The sequence below is a fragment of the Homo sapiens genome, chromosome 12 (genome assembly GCF_000001405.40).
Source record: "Homo sapiens chromosome 12, GRCh38.p14 Primary Assembly".
NCBI classification, from domain to species: domain Eukaryota; kingdom Metazoa; phylum Chordata; class Mammalia; order Primates; family Hominidae; genus Homo; species Homo sapiens.
Window position 1 is genome coordinate 123,506,443 of NC_000012.12, and position 13,965 is coordinate 123,520,407.

General features: G+C 50.4%; 1 protein-coding gene across 6 annotated transcripts in view, besides 2 other annotated features; it reads right to left on the minus strand.

Annotated features, from left to right (window-relative positions):
* RILPL1 (Rab interacting lysosomal protein like 1) overlaps positions 1 to 13,965 on the minus strand; it is a 63,666-nt gene that overhangs the window by 36,389 nt on the left and 13,312 nt on the right. The window contains exons 1-2 of one of the 6 annotated variants that reach the window (NM_001319244.2): positions 13,653 to 13,784; positions 11,940 to 12,052 (exon numbers count right to left, since the gene is read on the minus strand). The exons of 3 other annotated variants lie outside the window; for them this stretch is intronic. In NM_001319244.2, coding sequence (NP_001306173.1) covers positions 11,940 to 11,946 — 7 coding nt within the window. In that variant the 5' untranslated portion in view covers positions 11,947 to 12,052; positions 13,653 to 13,784. Of the gene's footprint in view, positions 1 to 10,872; positions 11,367 to 11,939; positions 12,053 to 13,652; positions 13,785 to 13,965 lie in introns of those variants that run through there. 2 more of the 6 variants (NM_001319302.2, XM_047428788.1) reach the window with 2 other exon arrangements.
* Positions 7,360 to 7,654: a silencer, noted in NCBI's record as "tiled region #13563; K562 Repressive DNase matched - State 14:Gen5'". NCBI's record gives its function as "represses a minimal TATA promoter and a strong SV40 promoter by Sharpr-MPRA in K562 cells {active_cell/tissue: K562}" and the evidence as "EXISTENCE:reporter gene assay evidence [ECO:0000049][PMID:27701403]".
* Positions 9,453 to 9,953: an enhancer, noted in NCBI's record as "H3K4me1 hESC enhancer chr12:124000442-124000942 (GRCh37/hg19 assembly coordinates)". NCBI's record gives its function as "activates a minimal SCP1, AML or CMV promoter by ChIP-STARR-seq in naive H9 embryonic stem cells {active_cell/tissue: H9 hESC(naive)}" and the evidence as "EXISTENCE:reporter gene assay evidence [ECO:0000049][PMID:30033119]".

Below are 13,965 nucleotides of genomic sequence, written 5' to 3' on the forward strand. Positions count from 1 at the left end.
AGGCAGAGGAGACCAGGAAGGGGCAGCCAGAGAGGACAGACTTCCAGACTTCCAGCAGGGGTGGGCGTCCTCTGTATGCACATGACATGGCTGGAGGGAAAGGACCCTGCAGTGCAGGGAATTATGGGAAGTGTGGACAGGGCACCAAGGCACTGGGAGGCCCCGGAGAGCGGTACAGAAAGCTGAGCTCCACCACCTGCTGCCATCGAGCCTCACGGCTTATGACTTCTGAAGTGACGCTCACCTCTCTGAGCCTCTATTCACTCATCTGCAAAATGGGCACGTGAATTATTTTTCCATTCTCCACCTTTCTGATGATGCTGTTCATGTAAAGTACATATAGTAGAAAGCTACACAAAGCCATGAAACTGGATGGTGCATCCTCCCACCGATGGCCATGGGGGGCATGAGTGCAGCCCTTCAAGCTGAATGACCACTCGGGTTTCTTCTAGTACCTCCTGGGTCCTGCTCAGCTCTGAGGCAGAGAGCTCCACAAAAGCCCTAAGACCCCACAGAGACGTCAGCCCTGGCTGGTGTGCAGAGGCAGGGATGAAAAGAAGGGGCAAGAATCCATTTAGCCACCAGAATGGCTAAAATGAGAAGGACTGACACCACCAAGTGCTGGTGAGAAAGTGGGGCAGCTGGAAGACGTGTGCCTTGTTGCTGGAAGTGCTACTATGGAAATTCGTTTGGCCTTACCTGCTAAAGCTCACACACGCACTCTAGCAACTGTATCGTGGGGGGCCCTCAACAGGCAGGTGTGCCCACATGCCTCAGGAGGAAGATGGTGAAATTAACCACTGTACAACCCACACTGTGCAGCTATTTGAAAGACTGAGGCCAGGCACAGTGGTTCATGCCTGTAATCCCAGCACTTTGGGAGGCCAAGACAGGAGGACTGCCTGAGCCCAGGAGTTCGAGACCAGCCACTGCAATACAGGGAGACCTCGTCTCTACAAAAAATTAAAAAATACTAACTGGGTGTGATGGCACACACCTGTAGTCCCAGCTACTCAAGAGGCTGAAGCAAGAAGACTGCTTGAGCCCAGGAGTTCGAGGCTGCAATGAGCTATGTCGTGCCACTGGATTCCAGCCTGGGTTGACAGAATGAGATACTGTCTCAAAAAAAAAAAAAAGATGTATGTGTGTATGTATGGGGATTTGGAGAAATTAGAACCTTTATACACTGCTGATGGGAATGTAAAATGGTACAGCTAGGCCGTGCACGGTGGCTCACGCCTGTAATCCCAGCACTTTGGAAGGCCGGGGTGGGTGGATCACCTGATGTCGGGAGTTCTAGACCAACCTGACCAACATGGAGAAACCCCATCTCTACTAAAAATACAAAATTAGCTGGGCGTGGTGGTGCATGCCTGTAATCCCAGCTACCCAGGAGGCTGAGGCAGGATAATCACTTGAACCCGGGAGGTGGAAGTTGCAGTGAGCTGAGATCACGCCACTGCACTCCAGCCTGGGCAAAGAGAGTGAAACTCCATCTCAAAAAAAAAAAGAAAAAAAAAAAAAAAAGAAAAGAGAAAACCAGTGGTTGCCTAGGGCTAGGGGGAATAGGGGGAATGGGGGATTGCTTTTGGGATGACAAAAACTTCCAAAAATCAGACAGTAGTGATAGTTGGACAACTTTGTGAATATTCTAAAAACCACTGAGTTGGACCAGGCATGGTGGCGCATGCCTGTAATCCCAGCACTTTGGGGGGCCAAGGCAGAAGGATCACTGGAACTCAGGAGGTCAAGACCAACCTGGGCAAATAATTGAGACCTCGTCTCTACTAAAAATAAAAAAATTAGCCAGGCGTGGTGGCCCACGCCTATAGTTCCAGCTACTTGGGAGGCTGAGGTAGGAGGATCACCTGAGTTAGGGAGTTCGAGGCTGCAGTGAGCTATGATTGTGCCACTGCTCTTCAGCCTGGGCAACAGAGAGAGACCCTGCCTCAAAAAAAACAAAAAACAAAAAACAAAAAACCCACTGAGTTGTCCACATTTGAAAGGATGAATCTTATGATTTCTCAATTTCCAAAAAGCATACACTGTATGATTCCATGTATATGAAGTTCAAAACAAGGCTGAATTAATCTCTGGAGACAAAAGGTCAGAGTCAGGGTGACCTTGTGAAGTTTTGTCTGGTAAGGGATGAGAAGGTGCATTCTGGGGTGTTGAACTATTCTCTATCCTGATCTGAACATACATGCAAAAATTCATAGAGCTGTACACTTAAAATGTGTTCACTTCACTCTAAGTTATACCTCAATTTAAAATGTTAAGGCCGGGCACAGTGGCTCGTGCCTGTAATCCCAGCACTTTGGGAGGACAAGGTAGGAGAATTGCTTGAGCCCAGGAATTACAGGCTGCAGCGAGCTATGATCGCATCATTGCACTCCACCTGGGTGACAAAGTGAGCCCTCATCTCCAAAAAAAAAAAGTTGCTAAAAAAAACAATAGCCAAGGCTGGGCGCGGTGACTCACACCTGTAATCCCAGCACTTTGGGAAGCTGAGGAGGGCGGATCACTTGAGGTCAGGAGTTGGAGACCAACCTGGTCAACATGGTGAAACCTCTCGTCTCTACTAATAATACAAAAATGAGCTGGAAATCGCTTCAACTCAGGAGGCAGAGGTTGCAGTGAGCCAAGATCACACCACTGCACTCCAGCCTGGGCAGGAGAGTGAGACTCCGTCTCAAAACAACAAACAAACAAACAAACAAACAAAAATAGCCAAGAAGTGGAAGCAAGCTAAATGTCCATCAACGGAAGAATGGAATAAAGAAAATGTGGTCTGTCCATACAACGGAATGTTACTCAGCCTTAAAAAAGGAAGGAAATCGGCTGGGCATGGTGGCTCACGCCTACAACGCCTGCACTTTGGGAGGCTGAGGCAGGTGGATCACCTGAAGTTGGGAGTTCGAGACCAGCCTGACCAACACGGAGAAACCCCATCTCTACTAAAAATACAAAATTAGCCAGGCATGGTGGCGCATGCCTGTAATCCCAGCTACTTGGGAGGCTGAGGCTGGAGAATTGCTTGAACCTGAAAGGTGGAGGTTGCAGTGAGCTGAGATCGTGCCACTGCACTCCAGCCCGAGTAACAAGAGCAAAACTCCGTCTCAAAAAAAAAAAAAAAAAGAAGGAAATCCTGTCACATGCTGCCACGTGGATGAACCCTGAAGACCTTATGCTTAGTGAAAAAGCCAGGCACAAGGGACAAACGCCGTATGATTCCACTTCCAGGAGGAGCTCCCTAGAGAAGTCAGACCACAGACGTGGACGTCGTTTTCGTCAGCAAGATGAAAGGGGTCCAGCGCCCTGCTGCCCACCCTCATGCACACAGTAAACACCGCTGCCCTGTGCACTCACACAGGTTACAGAGGGGCAATTCTGCGACATGTTTTCCACCAGAATGTTTAAAAGGAAAAGATAAGAAACACTAGCTGGCCAAGGGCCCTACTGGTACAATTCATCTCCGCCTGCTGATGGGGGAAGATGAGGACAGCCAGTCCCTGGAGCCGAGGCCTGGCATGTGTGGGGCAGGGGCTCCCGATGAGGAAGGTGGGAAAGACAGGGGAAGGCCCCCCTGGACCCTTGGGGAGCCCAGCGGCAGGGCAGGGTGTCAGCAGGTGGCCGCAGGAGTTGCTCTGCGTCCACTTTCTCTAAGCACAGAACCGGCAACCAAGCCGGGCCCCCCGCTTGCAGTTGTGAAGTGGACCCTCTCCCCGTCAGCTCTGCTCTCCTGCCTCCGGCTGTGGGTCCTGTGAGGGATTCCCGGGCCATGTGGGGGGCCCGCCTGTGCCCTCTCTCCTCTCTATGCCCCAGGGACACTGCTGCAGAGCAGTGCTGGGTTTAGCTGGTGGGACCCGGGGACACGGCTAACGCTTCCCAGAAAGGCGACCCTTGGGCATGTGGGGGGTGTGGTGTGTGTGTGTGTGTGTGGTGTGTGAGGTCTGTGTGTGGTGTCAATGTGAGGTCTGTGTCTGGTGTGTGTGTGAGGTCTGTGTGTGTGAATGTGGGGTCTGTGTGTGTGGGGTATATGTGTGTGATGTGTGTGTGTAGTGTGTGAGGTCTGTGTATGGTGTGTGTGAGGTCTGTGTGTGGTGTCAATGTGAGGTCTGTGTCTGGTGTGTGTGTGAGGTCTGTGTGTGTGAATGTGGGGTCTGTGTGTGTGTGGTATATGTGTGTGATGTGTGTGTGTAGTGTGTGAGGTCTGTGTATGGTGTGTGTGAGGTCTGTGTGTGTGTGGTGTGTGAGGTCTGTGTGTGGTGTCAATGTGAGGTCTGTGTCTGGTGTGTGTGTGAGGTCTGTGTGTGTGAATGTGGGGTCTGTGTGTGTGTGGTATATGTGTGTGATGTGTGTGTGTAGTGTGTGAGGTCTGTGTATGGTGTGTGTGAGGTCTGTGTGTGTGTGGTGTGTGAGGTCTGTGTGCAGTGTGTGTGTGAGGTCTGTGTGTGTGTGTATTGTGTGAGGTCTGTGTGTGTGTGGTGTGTGTAAGGTTTGTGTGTATGTGATGTGTGAGGTCTGTGTGTGTGTGGTGTGTGTGAGGTCTGTGTGTGTGGTGTGTGCAGTGTGAGTGTATGTCTGTGTGGTGGCATCTGTGTGTGTGTGGTGTGTGGGGTCTGTGTGTGTGTGAGGTCTGTGTGTGGTGTGTGTGTTAGGTCTGTGTGTGTGGTGTGTGAGGTCTATGTGTGTGTGTGGTGTGTGTGAGGTCTGTGTGTGGTGTTTGTGTGAGGTCTGTGTGTGTGTGGTGTGTGAGGTCTGTATGTGTGTGTGTGGTGTGTCTGAGGTCTGTGTGTGGTGTGTGTGTGAGGTCTGTGTGTGTGTGGTGTGTGCAGTGTGAGTGTATGTCTGTGCGGTGGCATCTGTGTGTGTGGTGTGTGAGGTCTGTGTGTAGTGTCAATGTGAGGTCTGTGTGTGGTGTCTGTGTGAGGTCTGTGTGTGTGGTGTGTGAGGTCTGTGTGTGTGAGGTCTGTGTGTGAGGTCTCTGTGTGTGTGGTCTCTGTGTGGTGTGTGTGTGAGGTCTGTGTGTGTGGTGTGTGAGGTCTGTATGTGTGTATGTGGTGTGTCTGAGGTCTGTGTGTGGTGTGTGTGAGGTCTGTGTGAGGTCTGTGTGTGTGGTATGTGTGAGGTCTGTGGGTGGTGTGAGGTCTGTGTGTGTGGTGTGTGTGAGGTCTGTGTGTGGTGTGTGAGGTCTGTGTGTGTGAGATCTGTATGTGTGAGGTCTGTGTGTGTGGTGTGTGGTGTGTGTGTGTGGTGTGAGATCTGTGTGTGTGTGAGGTTTGTGTGTGTGGTGTGTGTGAGGTCTGTGTGTGGTGTGTGAGGTTTGTGTGTGTGTGGTGTGTGTGAGGTCTGTGTGTGGTGTGTGAGGTCTGTGTGTGTGTGTGAGATCTGTATGTGTGAGGTCTGTGTCTGTGTGTGGTGTGTGAGGTTTGTGTGTGTGTGTGGTGTGAGATCTGTATGTGTGAGGTCTGTGTCTGTGTGTGGTGTGTGAGGTTTGTGTGTGTGTGTGGTGTGAGATCTGTGTGTGTGTGAGGTCTGTGTGTGGTGTGTGAGATCTGTATGTGTGAGGTCTGTGTGTGTAGTGTGTGAGGTTTGTGTGTGTGAGGTCTGTGTGTGGTGTGTGAGGTCTGTGTGTGTGTGGTGTGTGTGAGGTCTGTGTGTGGTGTGTGAGGTTTGTGTGTGTGTGGTGTGTGTGAGGTCTGTGTGTGTGGTGTGTGAGGTCTGTGTGTGTGTGGTGTGTGAGGTCTGTGTGTGTGGTGTGTCTGAGGTCTGTGTGTGGTGTGTGTGTGGTGTGTGCAGTGTGTGTGTATCTGCGGTGGCATCTGTGTGTGGGTGGTGTGTGAGGTCTGTGTGGAGGTCTGTGTGTGGTGTCAATGTGAGGTCTCTGTGTGGTGTGTGAGGTCTGTATGTGTGTGTGTGTGTGTGGTGTGTCTGAGGTCTGTGTGTGTGGTGTGTGAGGTCTGTGTGTGTGTGGTGTGTCTGAGGTCTGTGTGTGTGGTGTGTGAGGTCTGTATGTGTGTGTGAGGGCTGTGTGTGAGGTCTGTGTGTGTGTGGTGTGAGATCTGTGTGTGTGTGAGGTCTGTGTGTGTGTGGTCTGTGTGTGGTGTGTGTGTGAGGTCTGTATGTGTGTGAGGTCTGTGTGTGGTGTGTGAGATCTGTATGTGTGAGGTCTGTGTCTGTGTGTCGTGTGTGAGGTCTGTGTGTGGTGTGAGAGCTGTGTGTGTGTGAGGTCTGTGTGTGGTGTGTGAGGTTTGTATGTGTGTGGTGTGTGTGAGGTCTGTGTGTGGTGTGTGAAGTTTGTGTGTGTGTGTGGTATGTGTGAGGTCTGTGTGTGGTGTGTGAGGTTTGTGTGTGTGTGTGGTGTGAGATCTGTGTATGTGTGAGGTCTGTGTGTGCTGTGTGAGGTTTGTGTGTGTGTGGTGTGTGAGGTCTGTGTGTGTGTGGTGTGTGCAGTGTGAGTGCGTGTATGTGTGTGGTGACATCTGTGTGTGTGTGGTGTGTGAGGTCCGTGTGTGTGTGGTGTGTGTGAGGTCTGTGTGTGGTATGTGAGGTTTGTGTGTGGTGTGAGATCTGTGTGTATGAGGTCTGTGTGGTGTGTGAGGTTTGTGTGTGAGGTCTGCGTGTGTGCTGTGTGCAGTGTGAGTGCGTGTATGTCTGTGTGGTGGCGTCTGTGTGTGTGTGGTGTGTGAGGTCCGTGTGTGTGTGGTGTGAGGTCTGTGTGTGTGGCGTGTGTGAGTGGGTGTATGTGTGTGTCTGTGTGGGTGTTGTATGTGTGTGTCGTGTGTGTTTGGGGGCTGAGGTCCCATGTAGACAGAAGTCAGTGCCAAAGCCACAAACTCCTCCCGACCCCCCGCCTGCCATTTGAACACTTGTCCCGACATGCCCTGTCCTGGGGCGCCAGGACCCACTCACTCATTTACTCCTTGCTGGGGCTGCCTTGGCTCCCCGAGAGGTGGGCGGGAGGCGAGCATGAGGAGAGAGGGGCGGCTGGGTCTATGTGGAAGCCCAGCAGCCTCATCACCTTCCTGGGCGGCAGCCGTAGGAGCTATGAGACCGAGGCAGAAGCCTGGCGCCTGACTCCTATCCCAGCTTCGGCCTCTTAGTTGCTTTCCCTTCAGGCCTCGGTGCTCTCGAGAGGCCTGTGCACGCTTCATCGATGTGAAGTGCTCACAACAGAGGGGCCCAGGGCCAGAGTGTCTAAGTCATTTTATCCTGATACGGAAAGACCAGGCCTCCCCGCTTCACAGGTCACTGCTAAGAGAAAGTACAAGAGTGCTTTGGAAAACTAAGAGAAGGCCAAGTATTCTTAACAGACACTGTTAAAAGCTGGAAGAGTTGTGAGCCATCATACACACCCAGCAATTCAGGATCTAGGGACCTAGATTTTAAGAGACACTTGGGCAGGGGCACCATGGAGAAGCTCGTCCGTGGCCAGCCACAGCAGCCACACGTGTGGGAGTGAGAATCTGGCAGTGAGCTACTGTCCACCAGCAAGGCACTGTCCAGGCAGTGGGACACCATGAGACACGATGTGCCGTCGAAAACACTGAGATAGACTGTTAAGTGACAAAGTTCACAGCAGCACTATCTGTAGCAGATGAAAGATGGAAGCCACCCAAATGTCCCCCCGCTAAGAATGGATAAGCACAACGCGCTCAGTCCACACAGTGGAGGACAATTCAGCCATAACGAGGAAAGCAGCTCTGACACGCCACAGCACGGATGAACCTCAAAAATGACGTGGGGTCTAAGATCAGACCCCAAGGTTGCATACAGTGTGATTTCATCGATAGGAAATATCCAGAACTGGCAAATCCACAGAGGCAGAAAGCAGATTAGAGGCTGCCAGTGGTTGTACCTGCAGGGAGGGAGGGCAGAGACAAGAGGCTGGGGAGAGACCTGCCAGGTGCAGTCACCTCAGGAAGGTGGTGAAAGTGTTTTGGAACAAAACAGGTGATGGTTGTACAACACTGTCATGATTTTAAAAAAAAAAATTTTTTTTTTTGAGAGTCTCACTGTCACCCAGGCTGGAGTACAGTGGCGCAATCTCAGCTCACTGCAACCTCTGCCTCCTGGGTTCAAGCGATTCTCCTGCCTCAGCCTCCCGAGTAGCTGGGATTACAGGCATGTGCCACCATGCCTGGCTAATATTTGTATTTTAGTAGAGATGGGGTTTCACCATGTTGGCCAGGCTGGTCTCCAACTCCTGACCTGAAGTGATCCACCCACCTCAGATTCCCAAACTGCTGCAATTACAGGTGTGAGCCACCGCCCCCAGCCCATTATGAATAACTTAAATGATACACTACATGCTGCTGAATTAAATGATATACTATATGCTACTGAATTAAATGATATACTACATGCTACTGAATTAAATGATATACCACATGCTACTGAACTGTGCACTTTAAAATTGTTATCTGTATATTACATGAATTCACCTCAATTAAAAAATAGACAATCCAAACAATAAATACATAAATACTTTTTTTTTTTTTAAGAGACAGGGTCTTGCTCTGTTGCCCAGGCTGGAGTGCAGTGGTGCAATCAAGGCTCACTGCAGCCTTGACCTCCTGGGCTCAAAAGATTCTCCCACCTCAGCCTCCTGAGTAGCTGGGACTACAGGTGTGCACCACCATGCCCAGCTAATTTAAAAATTTTTTTGTAGAGACAGGGTCTCACTATGTTGTCCAGACTGGTCCCAAATTCCTGGTCTCAAGCAATCCTCCTGCCTCAGACTCCCAAAGTGTTTAATTTTATAAATTAAAATACAGAATTTTAATTAAAATACATAATTTTAATTTATAAAAAAGGACAAGTAATTCATAGCACAATTTCTTTTATTTTGAAAACAAAATAAACAAATTTGTGTGTAGATAGAAAGGGAAGGTTTTCCCTCTGGCAGTGCAGTGGGGGTGAAGCAAAGGGGAGTGTCACGTTTTGTGCTTAGTTTTATCTGACTCTTACGCAGTAAGAGTGAATATATACTACAGTGTTTTTTTTTTGTCTGTCTGTTTTTTGAGACAGAGTCTCACTCTGTCGCCAGGCTGGAATGCAGTGGCGCGATCTCAACTCACTACGACCTCTGCCTCCTGGGTTCAAGAGATTCTCCTGCCTCAGCCTCCTGAGTAGCTGGAATTACAGGTGCCCGCCACCATGCCCAGCTAATTTTTTTGTACTTTTAGTAGAGACGGGGTTTCACCAGGTTGGCCAGGATGGTCTTTATCTCTTCACCCCGTGATCCGCCCGCCTCAGCCTCCCAAAGTGTTGGGATTACAGGTGTGAGCCACCGAGCCAAACACCAGGCTGGGCGTGGTGGCTCACGCCTGTAATCCCAGCACTTTGGGAGGGTTAGGGGGGCAGATCACCTGAGGTCGGGAGTTCAAGACCAGCCTGACCAACATGGAGAAACCCTGTCTCTACTAAAAATACAAAATTAGCCAGGCGTGGTGGCACAGGCCTGTAATCCCAGCTACTTGGGAGGCTGAGGCAGGAGAATGGCTTGAACCCAGAAGGCGGAGGTTGCAGTGAGCTGAGATTGCAGCACTTCACTCCAGCCTGGGCCACAGAGCGAGACTCTGTCTCAAAAAAAAAAAAAAAAAAAAAAAAAAATGCCCCGAGATGATTGAGCAACTTGGCCCAAATCTCACTGCTAGTTAGTGGTCATGTAGGAGCTGTAATCTGGGTCTCTTCATATCAGACCAGTGTGTTTCTCAGCCCATCAGAGGTAGCAAAGCACCTTCAACATGGGAACGATGATGACCACAGCTCACATTTCTCATGAAGTTGGTCTCGGATCACCTGGGCCCGTGTTTACACCACTGCTCTTTGATGTGCCTTTGCTACCTCAGGCATCCTGGCTGGCAGGCTCTGCACTAGAAGTCCAGCTCCTCGCCTAAGGGCAGGAAAACCCTGAGGTGTAACTTACATTCCAGACTCCCCAGGGGCTAAGGCTGAGGCCACCCTGCCGGACTCTGCTGAGACCACGGCCCTCTGCCGGACCCTGCTGAGATCACAGCCCTGCTCCGCTTCCTCTTGCTTTCCCTGTCCTGCTTCCTCCACTCCCTCCCCTCTGGGGGCACTTCTTTCATAAGTCAGTTGCGTGGGAATCCCTGTCTCAGATTCCCTCCTGGAAGAATCTGACCTAAACAGTTCTGGGCATGGTGGCTCTAGATCGCTGTAATCCCAGCGACCCAGAACCTTGGAATGCGGCCTTATTTGAAAATAGGGTATTTGCAGATGTAATTAGTTAAGATGAAGTCATGGTGGATGAGGGGGGATGAGGGGTAGGCCCTAAATCCAATACCTGGTGTCCTTATAAGACAAAGGAAGTTGAGCGCTATGCCTCATGCCTGTAATCCCAGCACTTTGGGAGACTGAGGCAGGCAGATCACTTGAGCCCAGGAGCTTGAGACTAGCCTGGGCAACATGGTGAAACCCTATCTCTACAAAAAGTACAAAAATTAGCTGGGCATGGTAGCACATGCCTGTAGTCCCAGCTACTTGGGAGGCTGAGGCAGGAGGATTACCTGAGCAGGAGGTGAGGGAGGAGGAGGTTGCAGTGAGCCAAGATCGCACCACTGCACTCCAGCCTGCGGGGCAAAGTGAGACCCTGTCTCAAAACAAAAAACAAACAAAAAAATCCCATTAAACAACAAAAGATAAAGGAGAGGGAGCTGAGACACACAGACACGGAGGAGAACGTTTGGCTGCAGAGGAAGAGACTGGGATGGTGTAGCCACAGGTGAGGATGCCGACAGCCCCCAGAGGCAAGGAAGGACTCCTGCTGAGAGGCGCTGGAGGGAGCATGGCCTTGCTGATGCCCGACTATGAATCTCTGGCCTGCAGAACTATGAGAGTAAACTGTTTTTGGTCACCCAATTTGTGGTCATTTATTATGACAGCCCCAAGAAGCCAATATGGCAAACATACGGAGAAAGGCCCAGAGAGAGGGCACAGCAATTTTGTTGTTATTGTTTTTTTTTTTTTTTTTTGCGAGTCTCGCTGTGTTGCCCAGGCTGGAGCGCAGCGGTGGCAATCTCGGCTCACTGCTACCTCCGCTTTCCGGGCTCAAGCAATTCTTGTGCCTCAGCCTCCCGAGTAGCTGGGATTACAGGTGCACGCCACCACACCTGGCTACTTATTGTATTTTTTGTAGAGATGGGGCTTTGCCATGTTGCCCAGGCTGGTCTCAAACTCCTGGCCCCAAGTGATCCACCCGCCTCAGCCTCCCAAAGTGCTGGGATGACAGGCATGAGCCACCGCGCTTCTGAGAGCACCGTTGAGCTCAACGTATCCAATTCGGTAGCCACCAGCAGCCACTGAGCACTTGAAATGGGGCCTCTCCAAATGGACATATGCTGCAAACATAAAACACACATTGCCATTGTCAGCTGGTGGATAAACAAATGTAGGGCCTGCACACAATGGAATGTACTCAGCCTTAGAATGGAAGGAGATTCTGACATGGGCTACAAAATGGATAAACCTCGAAAACATGTTAGGTGAAATAAGCCAGACAAAAAAGGAAAAATACGATATGACTCCACTTATATAGGAGACGCCTCAAGTAGTTAAATCCATAGAGACAGTAAGTAGAATGGTGGGTGCCAGGGGCCAATGGCGTGGTGGGTGGGAAATTAGTGTTTAATGGGGACAGTGTTTCAGTTTTGTGAGAGAAAAGAGTTCTGGAGATGGATGGTGGTGGCGGCTGCACAAGACTGTGAATGTACTTAATGCCTCTGAACTGTACACTTAAAAATGATTAAGACAGGGCCGGGTGCGGTTGCTCACACCTGTAATCCCAGCACTTTGGGACTCCAAGGCAGGAGGATTGCTTGAGGCCGGGAGTTTCAGACCAGCCTGGGCAACATAGTGAGACCCCCGTCTCTACCAAAAAAATTTAAAACTTAGCCAGGCGTGGTGGTGCACACCTGTCATCCCAGCTACTTAGAAGACTGAGGTGGGAGAATCTTTTGAGCCTGGGAGGTTGAGGCTATGGTGAACTATAATTGCGCCACTGCACTCCAGCGTTGAAGACAGAGACCTGTCCAAAAAAAAAAAAAAAGGGAGAATGGCGGTTAAGATGGTAAATTTTATGTAAAATGTACGTTAGATTTTTTCACAATAGAATATGAATATATACACATATACACACATACATACATATGTATTCTACCACATTTCAAAGACTTAATATGAAAAAAATGCAAAATATCTCATTGATAGTCTCATTGATAATTTTTATATTGATTACATGTTACAAGGATACTTACTGTTTTGGATCTACTGGGTTCAGTAAAATATATTATAGAAAATACTTTCATCTGGCCGGGCGCGGTGGCTCATGCCTGTAATCCCAGCACTTTGGGAGGCCGAGGCAGGCGGATCATGAGGTCAGGAGATCGAGACCATACTGGCTAACACGGTGAAATCCCGTCTCCGCTAAAAATACATAAATTAGCTGAGCGTGGTGGCACGTGCCTGTGGTCCAGGCTACTCGGGAGGCTGAGGCAGGAGAATCACTTGAACCTGGGAGGTGGAGGTTGCAGTGAGCCGAGATTGCCCCACTGCACTCCAGCCTAGGCGACAGAGTGAGACTCCATCTCAAAAAAAAAAAAAAAAAAGAAAAGAAAAAAGAAATTACTTCATCTGTTTTACTTTTTTGAATGTGCCAAGTAGAAGAATGACAATGACTTCTCTTTTGTTGCAGTGTTGTTCTGTAATGCCCTTCAGAAAATGACAACGTGGTCAGTTTTCCTCTTCCCCTGGTGACTAAGCTGTTCCTTTAGAGCCCAAAGATTTTTTTCCAGACCCATGAGCAAATCTTCACACCCCATCCCCCGGCGCGATGGCTTGCATACCTGTCATTCATTTCTGCCTGTGCTAACAAGTTTCTGCGCGCTGCCCTCCAGCTGACAAACTGGATTGCCACAAACAGCCGGGAGCAAAGTGCTTTTTAATCTGGAGACTTCCGGGGGTACAGGAGCCTGCCAGGTGCCTCTGAGCACAGTGTCCAAGTTGAACTGCTGGGAAGGCCACACTGTTCCATGCGGGGCTGGCTCCTCTCAGCACCCCCTCACCCCCCACATAGGAATCGGACGACTGCACACCCCCAAGTCCTCGGTCTACCCCTGGCCTCTGCCCAGCACATTCTTAGCCGTCACTTCCCGGGCTCCACCTTCTCCCAAGGACCCTGTCTGTCCCAGGTCTGTTCCCCTAGCAGGTGGAAGACATGCCTTCTCCTTGTTGTGTTCCCATGGTTTCCCATGCAAAATAAAAATAACCACGAAAGGCATGCCTGGCATCTGCCCCGTCTCTCCACTCAGGCAGGAGGGCTGCTGCCGTGCTCCTCCTGAGCTAACCCTTTGGGAGCCGGACCCACGCTAGATGCCATTTAAGTGTGTCTCAGATTGCTCACGTGTGGGCTGATTCATGACAAGCCCAGCAGGGATCTGGAAGGCTGTGGAAGCAAAGTTCCCTGGGTGGAGGGCGCTGCGAGCATGCGTGCACTGATGCACAGGGAAGCGGCTCAGAGCCCTCAGGTCCAGGCCCTGTGGGTCCAAGGCCTCCAGGCGCCCTGCAGAAGTGTCAGAAGTTTAACATAGTTTCCCTATGGCCCAGCAATTCCACTCCTAGGTACACACCTCAAAGAACTGAAAACATAGGTCCACACAAAAGCTTGAGCACGATGTTCACAGCAGCACGATTCACAACAGCCAAAAGGTGGTGACGTCTCACAGGTCCATCCATAGATGAGTGGGCAAACGACATGCAGTATGGCCATAGAACGGAATATGATTCAGACAATTCGGACATGAAAAGGCAAGGCTGGGAGTGGTGGCTCACGCCTGTAATCCCAACACTTTGGGAGGCCAAGGTGGGCAGATCACCTTAGGTCAGAACTTCAAGGCCAGCCTGGCCAACATGGTGAAATCCCGTCTCTATTAAAAATACAAA